This window comes from Homo sapiens, chromosome 18 (genome assembly GCF_000001405.40).
Source record: "Homo sapiens chromosome 18, GRCh38.p14 Primary Assembly".
Classification (NCBI taxonomy): domain Eukaryota; kingdom Metazoa; phylum Chordata; class Mammalia; order Primates; family Hominidae; genus Homo; species Homo sapiens.
Genome location: NC_000018.10, coordinates 25,270,199 through 25,284,179, shown reverse-complemented (window position 1 = coordinate 25,284,179; position 13,981 = coordinate 25,270,199). Strand labels below are relative to the sequence as shown.

Genomic DNA, 13,981 nt, shown 5'->3' with positions numbered 1-13,981 from the left:
TATCCTCCTTGTGTGTGCACTTTTCTAGATCTTTCCTTGGCTGTCTTTTGACACCATGTCACCTGACCTTATCAGGAGGGAGCTGGGGGCTCAGGCTCATGTTTACTCAGGGTCCTCCTGGGACTGAACACTACCTTTGAGTCCAGCTTCTTTCAGCTTTGCAGACAAAGACAAGGAGGACATTCTCACAGAACTCAGCCGTCTAGTGTAAAACAGTTCCAGCTGTTGCTGCTCATGAATTTTTTTGGGGGGGGGGGAAAGTATTGGCTTGTTTTTTAGGTGTGGCTACATTCATAGAGCTGTCTCCAGACATTGATTTTTTTTCTTCAACTGATTCCGTTTAAAAGTGGTGAGGGATTAAAACACCAACTCTTTTGGAATTTGGCAAATTATAATAAGGTTTTAAACTCCCGTCAATGATGATGGGGGTATTCAGATCTTTTGCTTTTGAAGTTAAAAAGGGTCAGATGTTTTCAGATTTACCCAAATTTACGATTTCCAGCAGCACATTATTTTCTATTTTCCATTTAAGTTTATGTTCAGCTATTGAATAATATTCTTGGATTTTTCTGGAAAGCTTTCTGGTGAAACATCAAGACAATGAAATTAATTATACTTAATGCAGACACATAAACTTGGAGGGGGTATAGTTGGTGTTTTTAAACTAATGTTCTTGCTGATACAGCAAAATCCTGTGAAGGTTTTATAGACATATTTATTGTGGTCCAGTAATTGGAGACCGACCTCAGCTTTTAATTAGCGTATGTTGGACCAGAGACCAGGGAAGAGCCCCTGAATTAGGCTCTGATTTTGACTCTTGCTAAGTGCTGGCAAATTCAAGGGTTAAGCTTAGAGCACAGCAATCCTCATGAGTAGGAGAGGCAAGAGTGGGAATGTATGATGTGCAAAACCAGGTGACTGAGGTGAAATTCTTCCTTAGACAGAAGGAGGCAACTTTTCAAAGTGAGGGGCCTGGTGGAAGCTCTTTGCTGAGAAAAAAGATAGTGAGTGGAGGTGCTTGTTGATATGTGTTAGAGGCTCATGCCAACACTCCTGTGAGATTTTGGTTGTACTTTCCTTGGATAGAGTGCTTGTCCCATCCATTACACAGAAAGAGGTACCAGCTGCTTCCTGCACAAAGCAGGCACGCTGTGGTTAAAGTCATTCTCTGTAGGTTTAATGCATTGGAGGAAAGCATTTTGTACTTAAGCACTTTAAGGATTCACTGAAACACTTGAATCTGGCTCCCTAAAAATTTTAAAAGCTCTTTTATCTCTACTCCACGTGGTGCCTTTCACTTAGAAATCTTCTGTGTTCTTTGCTGTCCTTGTCAGTCTGGAAAGTGCTTTATTCTTGCTGGATTTTTTTGTTTTGTTTTTCTTATTTGCAGGTGTCCCTGGTAAAGGCCTAAAGGGGGGAAAAAAAAGCAGTAGGATTTTTTACTAAAATAATATTTCTTTTTAGGTGTGGCATTTTGTATATAATTTAACTTAATTTTTTTGGGCTTCTGACTAGTCCTTTCAAAAAGATCCCTCTGATGCCCTGTCACAGTGGGGATGGAATATTGTTTTTGGCACATCCACATTGCCTTTCATTTCCCTGTCCCCACCATGCACCGCCCCCTCCATGTGCAAGCTCACACTTTATTACCTGTATACTTGGCCAGCCGGATGGAGTGCCGCTCTGCAGACTTCCTCTTTCCAAACACTGAACTATGTTATTCTGACACCGGGTGCTGCCTCCCCTAAGGCTTGGGTGTGAAGGACTAGCCTGCACTTTGCTCCCTGGTCTAGTGGCCCGACGCACTGGTCACAAGCCGCCTGGCTTTCCAGTGGTTCCGATGTGCATGTTTCTCACCCTGCTTCTCCCTACTCCTCTCTGGCCCTCCTCCTTTCTGCCTTCCTACCTGGCTCCAAAGGCAGCTGATCCCCTCATCCCCCCAAAACAGTTTTGGGATGTTTTGGAAGAAATACCAGTACACATATTCATAGGTGCTCTGTGTTCTCAAGTTTACCTTCCAAACTGTAGAAAGTTTAGGAAATGGAGCAGAGGAGTTGTTTTTTGGAACCCTTGGATTCTTAAACAGAATTTTCCTATAATTATAAACGAGTGGCAACTTCCTAACAAAATTAATCCTTTTCTCAGGAAGGGTGCAAAGAGTATTTTCAAGAGTCTGAAAAACAGGATCCTATTTTGAACAAAAGGCAAAAAGCTTTGCCTAGAATATGAGAGGATTTTTTTTTTTCTGCCAGTTTTAGGCCAGCAGGATTCTAGTAAATGCTGATGAAGTACCGCCTGTGATTCCTTCCGTTATTTTTGACCGCATGCTTTATTCTAGCCACTTGCCTGGTAAGATACTCTAAACTGCACTGGACAGTCAGAAACCTCCTAAAGTCTTTTGGTAAGATTGTGTTTCATCGCATTCATGGAAGGCAAGTCACATTGCCTGAGCGCAATTTCTAGCTCCACCTTTTAATAGTCACGTGATTTGGGGAAGTTGCTTAACTAACTCTTTGTGCTTCTGTATCTGTAAAATGGAGCTACTAATAGTCCCCTTCTCTTAGGGTTCCCTTAAGGAGTAAAGGAGATTATGCATGTCAGACACAGTGTGAGTTTAGAACATAGTGTTCAATGACTGTTAGCTGTGATTGATTGTTACTATGTAGAGTAAGTCATTCTTAAACTTTTACTGTTTTCCACAGTCTACATTTCCAGCACATGCATTCTATGGAACAAACTTCTTGACTTGTGATTTGGGTCAGCAAACTTAATTTGGGCCAAAGTTGTACTTTAGTTAGAAAGCAAGACCCTCCCACTTGCCTTCTGTGTGCAGGAATGAGGAGGACATTTCCTCTCTCATTTAGTATTTGTGTTGAATGACAATAACAGGATCAAAGTAGGTTTACATCAAGCATAATTTCCTCACGTGTGTTTGAGATTGCTTCTTGCTTTGCTCATTATTTTCTAGTCCTGGTTTTCTATGAAAAAGTTTCTGCAGATCAAATACCATGCAAGACGGATAAAGCTGTAGGTGCATAGGAAATTAAATGGTTGTGGAACACTAATTTATATATCTCTGGACTCTTCACCCCTAAGTCCATTATTTGTTGATAGGATGTAAGAGAAATTTCACAACTGGGAAGTAGAAAATGAGGGCAAGACAGGTGTAAGGATTGATTTGCTTAGAATGAATTTAAGCAAGGAATTGATAGTATGAGCGGAAAGGGATTTGGGTGAGAGAGAGAGTGAGACAGTATTTAGAAGCCTTTGTCATGAGCCCTTGTATTTAGGTGATCGAATCTATGGTTTATATTAATATATATTATCCTTGATCAATCTTTGATGTGAATACATTTAAAACAAATATATTCCTAGAAGGCTGGGAAAACCCTGTTCTTCTCAATGGGACAATACCATTTACTTTTGCTTTAAATTGTTTTACAGAGAAAAGAATTGATCAGAAACAAATAAGGGTGATATCAACATTTATATGTTATCCTTCTAGTTTGCCCAAAATCTCACAACTACTGGATGTGGGCTCTACTGTCCCTTCCTTCTTTGTTTCTCACTTTGAAAGAAGCCTGGAGTCCTTCAGAATCCAGTGGTACTACATGTAGTTCTAGGTCTGACTTGTGTGTGTGTCTGTGATTGAGTAAAGGTGTAGACTGTCATCAGGTAATGATTATTGCATCTGAAACAGAGAAAAGGAGGAGATACAAAGAGACATTAGAAAGAAATCTTGCTCTTTTTTTTTTTTTAATTTTTTACATCCCTTCCCAATCCTGATGAAAACCAAAAGAGAGGGTCTTTTTCTTTGTAAAAGTGCCTGAGTGTGTGTGTGCTTAAACAGAATTGTCGTGTGCCTTCAATGACATCATGGGCATTTCACCTTCACATGTGCCACTTAATGGTGCTGGTGTCTGTGTTATGTGTAGACATTTGAGGCATTTCCCTGGCATTTTCTTCTATTATTTTCAGGACTGGGAGAGTCTGAGGCAGGAGGGCCATCTGTCAGGGCTGCGGAGCAGCGATGAGGGGAAGTCAGCGTTTGGGTGGTGACTGTAGAGGAGCATGGAGTGTGACGTTCTCCAAGGATCCTTCCAGCTCTGAGCCTGTGATTCTGTGAAATAATTTGGCCCTAATGTAGTGCCAGGGACATTTTTTTGAAACCTAATGTGATATCATATCCTTTATCAATATATCGTATCACTGCAGTTTGTGACATTATGCTGTAAAATGCTAGACCATAAAAGCCTATAATTTATGAGGCTATATTAGGTACTTACTTTATGTATTATAGCCTGATAGCCTTGTAATTCAACATTGCCTACATTTATTCTATATATAATTCCATGGAGGGTTCTGGTGACATTATAAACCACAAAAGCAGAGCTCAAGTGGTTAGTCATTAGAACCCCAAGATAAAAATACCTCGTATTACATTATTCAGTATTTATTATTTCCCATAATGTGAAGTTAAAACGCTTGCATATGAAACATTTTCTATTTACATTCCACATCACGGCATTCATATACATGTCAATCAGAAGTGCTCTGGTTGAATACCACATCACAACCATATATAACCTTGTTTTTGTTTGAAATTATGTTTGCTATACAAGGATGTGTTGTCCATCCCTCTGCAAAACAAGTTTTTCCCCTGACTGGTTATCAAAGAGGAAATTCTGCTGCCCATTCGTTGTGGAGTTTTTTGTTGCCTGTTAAAGAGAAGCCAAGTACATTTGTTTTTGAATGAATTTTAAATCATTCATACAGAGCTTTGTCAAAAATAAATACTCTATGAAGCTCGTTTACACACAAACCACTGTAGTATTGGTCATGGGCCAAAGGCTGTAGTTATACTAACATATGTTGAAATGCATTAGATCATTACTGTAGAATGCTGTAGTATATTTTTATAAGTTGTCTGAGTGTCCAAATTAATTCCATAATAAGTCTGATTGATGTAATCCTCTTATATAAAGTTGGTTCTTGTTGTATAAACAATGCCACTCTCTCTCCTGTTCTTCACCTTCCTCCTCACTACTCCTGTCTACCTTTTCTGGGACATTTTGATTATAGAAGCCATGGGTGGCATGACAGATTATGGTAACAGTGGCATATGGTATATTTCATTTGATTTCAGAATTAAAATTAAGCGCTTCACTCTGTCTTCCCCCACCAGTTTCTCCACAATTTGGGCAGTTTTTCCTTGAGATTTGCAGAGACTAAAAGTTTAGAAAAAGAGAAAGATAACCAAAAGTTAATAAAATAACGGAGTTATAAAGTACCTGAAGCCAACCTACTGTAAAAAGTGACCTGTTTTATGGCATCACTTTATAATAACTATTCACAGTGGCAAGCAAGTCTGTAGAGGATCCATGGTTATAGTCATTTATTATTTGTTAAAAGTGGAGAAAGAGAGATTTTTTTTTTAAACAAGAGGAGGAAAAATTAGAAGCAGCAAGCTGACTGCTTTCACTTTAAATTACAGTGCAATTTCTTTTCTAGCCAGCAAGTGACTTGAAAGTATTGAAAGATAAACAACCTGAGCAAGGGCCTTGGATTCTTGCCATATGCTAGGATCTCAATTAAGGGATGAAATTGCAAGACACTCTTCATTTTTATCACCAGCGAGGCTGGGTTCTGTGGGTCAGTAAAGCAGGCAAGAGTGGCGGCTGTTCGAGGCATGGGCACAGCTAGTGGAGGGTCATAACTACCTGCATTAGCATTAATGGGACTTAGCAGCACAGATCGCTTCAAATGGAAGAACAGACCCAAAAGGGAAAAGTGGGTAGAGAGTGGGGGTTAACTTTACTTGAATCTCCTCTTTGTTGGAAATACTTGTCTCTTTTTCTTTGTCATGTGCTGAGGCATTTACTAATGAGTAAGTAACACAAAAAATCACAGATGAAAGAAATTGGATTCTCGGTAGAGGACTGAGATTTTAAGTGCTATTCAAAATACAAGTTGCAGAATATTGGAATTACCACATTTTTGGGTACATGAATAGTGATTCTCTCCATCTGAGCACTAATTTGCATTGCCTGTGCTGTCATATTTTGCTGTGGCACCATTTTCTCTAAGTATTGCATTATTGACTTAAAAGGTGTCATTTTCCAAATGATGGAGGTAAGGAAGTACATTTTCCTTATTTCGTAATTTGCACACAGATTGAAGAAGACTTACCATTGTCACAAAATTTGGATATGATGGATCTTGTATTTTAACTGGATTGTGGGTGTAGGGAAATCTACCAGTACATTAATTTTAATGGAAGATTGTGGCATCCTTGAAAAATATTTTGAAAGTTAAGTCATGTTAATTTTCTTCCTTATTTCTTTCCTCCTGTTTCTTAAGGCCTCATCATCTTTGACTCCTTACTCTTCTGTGCCATCAATGATAACTGTTAATTCAAGATAATTGTGGCTTTAGTAATGTTTCTATTTAGTATGGTGCTTTTCACCCATAAAAATATAGTGCAGATGTTAACTTACCTGATCCAGAGCTGAAACTAAATAACTTAGTGAAATGCTAATTTTCTTTTAGGTGTGTTCCTCACAGAAAGATAAGGTAAATGACATGAAATACACACACCCATTCTTCCACTGAGCCTTTGGCACTCAGGTTTCTGTCAGTACAATCATTTATGCATATTTTACTTAATAGTTGAGGGTCCGAGTTTCTCTTTGATGTCACTCCGCTACTGATCTTTAACTTAAAAACCCAAGTTAGATTTATGTAGGGGTTTTTTTTATTTTTTTGTGCCCTAAGCTTACCTTTCTCTTACTTCCTATATATGAAAAACTAGCTGGTTTGTGGCAATAGGAAAGGAAAGTAACATTGTTTTAAAGCCAGATTTTGCAGTGGTGAAATGAAGAAGGAAAGATCGAAAAATTATAATATTTGATAAGCTTTTGCTCTTAATAAATATATAATGCTTATATTCCCTTTTTCAGACATTCTGATGTAATAGATACACTTTTTTTTTTTTTTTGAGACGGAGTCTTGCTCTGTCACTCAGGCTGGAGTGCAGTGGCATAATCTCGGCTCACTGCAACTTCTGTCTCCCAGGTTCAAGCGATTGTCCTGCCTCAGCCTCTTGAATACCTGGGATTACAAGCGTGTGCCACCACACTCGGCTAATTTTTGTATTTTTAGTAGAGGTGAGGTTTCATCATGTTGGCCAGGCTGGTCTCGAACTCCTGACCTTAGGTGATCCACCCGCCTTGGTCTCCCAAAGTGCTGGGATTATAGGCGTGAGCCACTGCCCCTGGCCTGATGTAATAGATACACTTATTAATGATAATATCCAAACTCATTTAACTTTCAGTTTAGAATGAACCATCACAGATTGTGTTTTGTTAAAGGTAAAATAAAGGTGAACTAAATATATCTGTGTTAATAAGACTTCATTAACTTCTTCACAGATACAAAATAGAAAGTGACGTGCGCATATGAACGAGGCTTTGGAAGGGGCAGTGTAAAATTGAAGTGTGGGATGTGTCTTAAAGTACAGGTCAGTTTCAGGGAGCTCTGTTTTCCTTGAATTAGGCAGGCAGCATTAATGCATTATGCTCCACTGTTCAGGGAGGTGGGACCCCTAAGTACTTCCTTTGGTGTCCAAGTATCCATTCTAAGTGAGCTCTTTCTCTGTCTCCATGTATTCAGCATTAAAGTGATATTTTACATTGCTTAGAAATTATGAGAGTGTTTGTTGCTGTTGTGTAGGAAGGAAATAAATCAAGGGCTTTTGTGGGATTTAAAATTCTTCCCAAGAGGAAAGAGCTAATATTAAGGCCTTCACAAGTGGGATTAATTTTGTATATCTCTCAGGAGTCTATTGGGTATTATATTTATACATTATAAAATGTGTTTTGATATGCCTTAAATTAACATTTTTCTATCTGCAGGGTGAACGTGAAGGTAGCACTTTCTGTCTGGGGTGGGTGGAGGGGGAGGAAGGGGAAGGAAAGAGAGAGTGATGAAGCCCCTCTTTGCTGTGCATAAGGGCATGCATATTTTTGGTCTGATAGTGATCATTTTCTGTGATGCCCTGAGTAGCCTCACAGGCACAGTTTACCTGTATGGTGGCACCAAGCAGAAAAATTCCCTGCTTTTTCCACTATCACTGTTCAAATTTTACCTTTATAAGTTAGCCCTTGAAAGTAAGCTCTTTTTGCACATGGTGCCGGTGGCCGATTGCCAAACTTTGTGCTCCTCCGCCATCAATAGCAGCTTCCCTGGACGTCTTTTAGCAGATGCTGTCAACTCATCACCTTTCTCTCACTCCCCTCACACTGCCTTCATGGATCACTGCGTATGCTGGTGCTCATGTGTCAAGGGGAAGGGCACAGCTGCAAAAAGGGTCACCCCTGGAGGCCCAAGCTTCCTGTCTCCGTGGCGTAGGCAATCCTGGTCAGTCTAGCCCTGTGACCTGTTTCCCTTTCCTTTCCTTAGATTTGTTTGGCAGGAAAGCCCATTGGCCCCAGTGCAGAACACTAAACCTTGGCTGATGGGGAGAAGGAAAGAGGGAGGGAGCAATCCCTGAAAATGTAGTAGCTTGTCATCATGTGGATACAGTGTGGGTAATCAAAATGTGTATTTTGAAAGTATGATGTGTTTCTTGCTGTCTGGTTAATAATCTTTGTTATCTTAAGAGTAAATGGGTAGGCGTGCTACACATGATGTTATTACCGCATGAGTGGGTGCCCGGATGGCCAATAAATCAAAGTGTAAAGATTCTGTACATTCGTTTTCATTTGTTCACTAGTTTGCATTCATCTTAACTACTCAGCCAGTTATAGCTCTAGATTAGAGTAAAACATGCTTATTTGTCCCCCTTTTAGTGATGTCCTTGGCTTTACCTTCCTATTTTTTAAAAAAATTTTTGCGCCATAAGTTGTATTGGGAGAAATGTTGAAGTTCATCCTTTTACAAAACCTCAATTATGAGATAGAAAGGTTTATTCAAATGCCTGTCATATTTTTGCAAGTTTTATCGCAGCAGGATCCAGTGGCCCCACAAATCGGCAGGAAATCCACTGTAAATTTTTCAGTACCTTGATGATTGAGTGTTTGCACTATAGCAAGTTTTTTTGGCAATATTTTATAGGTTGGATAAGGAATTTGTTTTGAATGAAAGCCCAGATAAGGTTTGTAAGTTTTTTTCTTTTTCTTCCTTATTTCTGTTCCCTCCACCCGCTTTGGGGATGAAACTTTTTTTTCTCTGTACTCTGCTGCTTAGTTGAACAGTAGGATATTGAGGTACTTGCCATGCCTGATGGTCATAAAGTTAAATATACAACAATGAGGAAGGAATCTAGGGGACAAGCCATAAGTCCCACAACATACTTTAAGATACTGTAAATATATTCAAATGACAACTCTCCCATCCACTAGACACAACATCTTATTTCATTCTGTAAACAAGTCTGAAGAATGCCCCAAGAATTGTACATTGAATGCCTGGCAGTATGCAAGTATTTCTTCATTATTCCAAAGTACCTGCCCACAACAGTATCATAAATATGAGTAGATTCAGCTATATTGAACTTTGTTACATTTTCCTTCCAATGAGACTATCCCTGTTTCCATTTTGTTGTGTTGGTAGATTCTCCCTTTTTCTGTAATACATAATCTTTGGAAATATTTGTCAGTGAAATTTTATTCATATGCCATTAACCTCTAATAAATACCACATATCTAATTGTTTTCAACAGTATGGTAATAGTCTGCATTTTATGTATTTAGATAACAGCACAGTAACAACTTACCTGATAGTCAGCTGACTCTGGGAGGATTTGGTCATCAGATCCAGAAGTTAGAAGAGACCGCCTTCTGGTCGTGTCATATCTACATAGTAGAGTATCCCCAGTTTCCCTTAAACCCAGCTGAAATCACCACCATGACTACTGACCATGTTGGGGAAATTCTTGTGGGTATGCTGGTTCCTTGGTATTCCTTGAATAAGGAAATTCCTTAATAGCAAAGGAATCTCCTCATTCCAGGATCAATAATTCTTATAGCAGAGTCTTGGGAGGCCAAAGTATCAGTGTGTCTGCATCATGGAAGAAGGTTCTTCCCTTGCCCTTTGGAAGTGAAGAAATACAGCTGATAAGGAGAGGTAGATTCCACCTTTTAATCTTCCACCAGCTACCTCTAAGCTTGCCTGAGTTGTTTAATTTTTCTGGCCCTCAGCTTCTTGGTCTGTGAGATGATACCTCTGAACTGTTAGGACCCTTTCTACCCTGAAGTTCTGTGGTTCTACCTAAACTTTAAACAATTAGTTTATTATTAATAATAGAAAACTGTACTTATCCTAACCCCAAATTAGCCGTTATGGACAGGTGGCAGATTTCTTATAATAAGGCCTGTACAAGATGCAACATTGTGGTAGAAACTTTTAGAAAGTAAAACAACCACTCCTAGCTAATTTTAAAACATAATGTCTTATGAACAATCCATATATACTAAGTAGTTATAACAAATATTTACATAGTACTCTCTATGCCTTACACTCTAAGTACTATACATACCCTTTTATTAATCTGATTTAAGTGTAATTGTTATTACCTTTTTACAGATGGGAAAGCTATGGACCAGAAAAGGCAAATAACTTGTCCAAAGTCACGTAAATATGAATAATGAAGCTCGGGTTTCAACTTAGGCATCCTGCCTCCAGATTCCATGCCCTTAACTCCTATACCAGGTTCCTTCTCAAACAACCATATTTGTCTTTTGTTTTCCTGCTGCTGCTACTGACATTGATGATCGTGAAAAGAAGTTTGAACTTTTAAATATATATGGAATTGGAGTGAGGGAAGCTATCCAGTAGGGCTAGCCTGCTTATATTGTGACTGCGCAACAAAATTTATTTTCTGGCACCTTCATCTTTTAAAAGTAAATGTTGCAGATATTTAAAATGTCTTTTTTTTTTTTTTTTTTTTTTTTTTTTTTTGGAGACAGGGTTTCACTCCTCTTGGGAGCACAGAGGAGCGATCTCGGCTCACTGCAACCTTCGTATCCTGGGCTCAAGTGATTCTCCTGCCTTAGCCCCCGAAGTAGCTGGGACTACAGGTGCATGTCATCGTGCCTGGCTAAATTTTTTATTTTTTGTAGAGAGAGGATTTTGCCATGTTGCCCAGGCTGGTCTTGAACTCCTGGACTCAAGTGATCCACCTGCTTCTGCCTCCCAAAGTGCTGGGATTACAGGCGTGAGCCACCATACCTGGCCTAAACGTTATTAGGATTTACAGTTTTTTATTATTATTATACTTTAAGTTCTGGGGTACATGTGCAGAATGTGCAGGTTTGTTACATAGGTATACATGTGCCATGGTGGTTGGCTGCACCTATCAACCCGTCATCTACATTAGATATTTCTCCTAATGCTATCCCTCCCCAACCCCCCAACCCACAACAGGCCCCGGTGTGTGATGTTCCCCTCCCTGTATCCCTGTGTCCTCATTGTACAACTCCCGCTTGTGACTGATAACATGCAGTGTTTGGTTTTCTGTTCTTGTGGTAGTTTGCTGAGAATGATGGTTTCCAGCTTCATCCATGTCCCTGAAAAGGACATGAACTCTTTCTTTTTTATGGCTGCATAGTATTCCGTGGTGTATATATGCCATATTTTCTTCATCCAGTCTATCCTTGATGAGCATTTGGGTTGGTTCCAAGTCTTTGCTATTGGGAACAGTGCCACAATAAACATATGTGTACATGTGTCTTTATAGTACAATGAATTATAATCCTTTGGGTATATACCTTGTAATGGGATGGCTGGGTCAATCGGTATTTCTAGTTCTAGATCCTTGAGGAATCGCTACACTGTCTTCCACAATGGTTGAACTAATTGACACTCCCACCAACAGTGTAAAAGTGTTCCTATTTCTCTACATCCTCTCCAGCATCTGTTGTTTCCTGACTTTTTAATGATCACCATTCTAACTGGCATGAGATAATATCTCATTGGGGTTTTGATTTGTATTTCTCTTAATAACCAGTGATGATGAACTTTTTTTTCATATGTTTGTTGGCTGTGTAAATGTCTTCTTTTGAGAAGTGTCTGTTCATATCCTTCACCCACTTTTTGATGGGGTTGTTTTTTTCTTGCAAATTTGTTTAAGTTCTTTGTAGATTCAGGATATTAGCACTTTGTCAGATGGATAGATTGCAAATATTTTCTCCCATTCTGTAGGTTGCCTCTTCACTCTGATGATAGTTTCTATTGGATTGCAGAAGCTCTTTAGTTTAATTAGATCCCACTTGTCAATTTTGACTTTTGTTGCCAATGCTTTTGGTGTTTTAGTCATGAAGTCTTTGCCCATGCCTATATCCTGAATGGTATTGCCTAGGTTTTCTTCTATGGTTTTTATGGTTTTAGGTCTTATGTTTAAGTCTTTATCTTGAGTTAATTTTTGTATAAGGTGTAAGGCAGGGATCCAGTTTCAGTTTTCTGCATATGGCTAGCCAATTTTCCCAACACCATTTATTAAATAGGGCATCCTTTCCCCATTGCTTGTTTTTGTCAGGTTTGTCAAAGATGAGATGGTTGTAGATGTGTGGTGTTATTTCTGAGGCCTCTGTTCTGTTCCATTGGTCTATATATCTGTTTTGGTACCAGTACTATGCTGCTTTGGTTACTGTAGCCTTGTAGTATAGTTTGAAGTCAGGTAGTGTGATGCCTCCAGCTTTGTTCTTTTTGCTTAGGATTGTCATGGCTATGCAGGCTCTTTTTTGGTTCCATATGAAATTTCAAGTAGTTTTTTCCAACTCTGTGAAGAAAGTCAATGGTACCTTGATGAGGATAGCATTGAATCTGTAAATTACTTTGGGCATTATGGCCATTTTCATGATATTGCTTCTTCCTACCATGAGCATGGAATGTTCTTCCATTTGTTTATGTCCTCTCTTATTTCCTTGAGCAGTGGTTTATAGTTCTTGAAGAGGTCCTTCACATCCCTTGTAAGTTGTATTCCTAAGTATTTTATTCTCCTTGTAGCAATTGTGAATGAGAGTTCACTCATGATTTGGCTCTCTGTTTGTCTGTTATTGGTGTATAGGAATGCTTGTGATTTTCGCAATTGATTTTGTATCCTGAGACTGCTGAAGTTGCTTATCAGCTTGAGGAGATTTTGGGCTGAGACGATGGGGTTTTCTAAATATACATTCATGTAATAGCAAACAGAGACAATTTGACTTTCTCTCTTCCTATTTGAGTATGCTTTATTTCTTTCTCTTGCCTGATTGCCCTGGCCAGAACTTCCAATACTATGCTGAACAGGAGTTGTGAGAGGGCATCCTTGTGTTGTGCCGGTTTTCAAAGGGAATGCTTCCAGTTTTTGCCCATTCAGTATGATATTAGCTGTGGGCTTGTCATAAATAGCTCTTATTATTTTGAGATACGTTCCATCAATACCTAGTTTATTAAGAGTTTTTAACATGAAGGGCTGTTGAATTTTGTCAAAGGCCTTTTCTGCATCTAGTGAGATAATCATGTGGTTTTTGTCATTGGTTCTGTTTATGTGATGGATTATGTTTATTGATTTGCGTATATTGAACCAGCCTTGCATCCCAGGGATGAAGCTGGCTTGATCATGGTGAATAAGCTTTTTGATGTGCTGCTGGATTCGGTTTGCCAGTATTTTATTGAGGATTTTTGCATCAATGTTCATCAGCGATATTGGCCTGAAATTTTCTTTTTTTGTTGTGTCTCTACCAGGTTTTGGTATCAAGATGATGCTGGCCTCATAAAATGAGTTAGGAAGAGTTCTGTCTTTTTCTATTGTTTGGAATAGTTTCAGAAGGAATGGTACCAGCTCCTCTTTGTACCTCTGGTATGATTCAGCTGTGAATCCATCTGGTCCTGGACTTTTTTTGGTTGGTAGGCTATTAATTACTCCCTCAGTTTCAGAACTTGTTATTGGTCTATTCAGGGATTCAGCTTCTTCCTGTTTAGTCTTTAGTTTGTGTCCCGG

The 13,981-nt window shown here is 39.0% G+C and overlaps 1 protein-coding gene and 1 long non-coding RNA gene across 12 annotated transcripts in view; one reads left to right on the top strand and one right to left on the bottom strand.

The window, feature by feature from the left end:
• ZNF521 (zinc finger protein 521) overlaps positions 1-13,981 on the top strand; it is a 290,243-nt gene that overhangs the window by 67,987 nt on the left and 208,275 nt on the right. The gene's annotated exons all lie outside the window — the stretch shown is intronic.
• LOC105372031 (uncharacterized) overlaps positions 3,482-13,981 on the bottom strand; it is a 46,669-nt gene continuing 36,169 nt past the window's right edge. The window contains exon 4 of the long non-coding RNA XR_001753378.3: positions 3,482-3,691. This is a non-coding gene — a long non-coding RNA (uncharacterized LOC105372031). The remainder of the gene's footprint in view (positions 3,692-13,981) is intronic.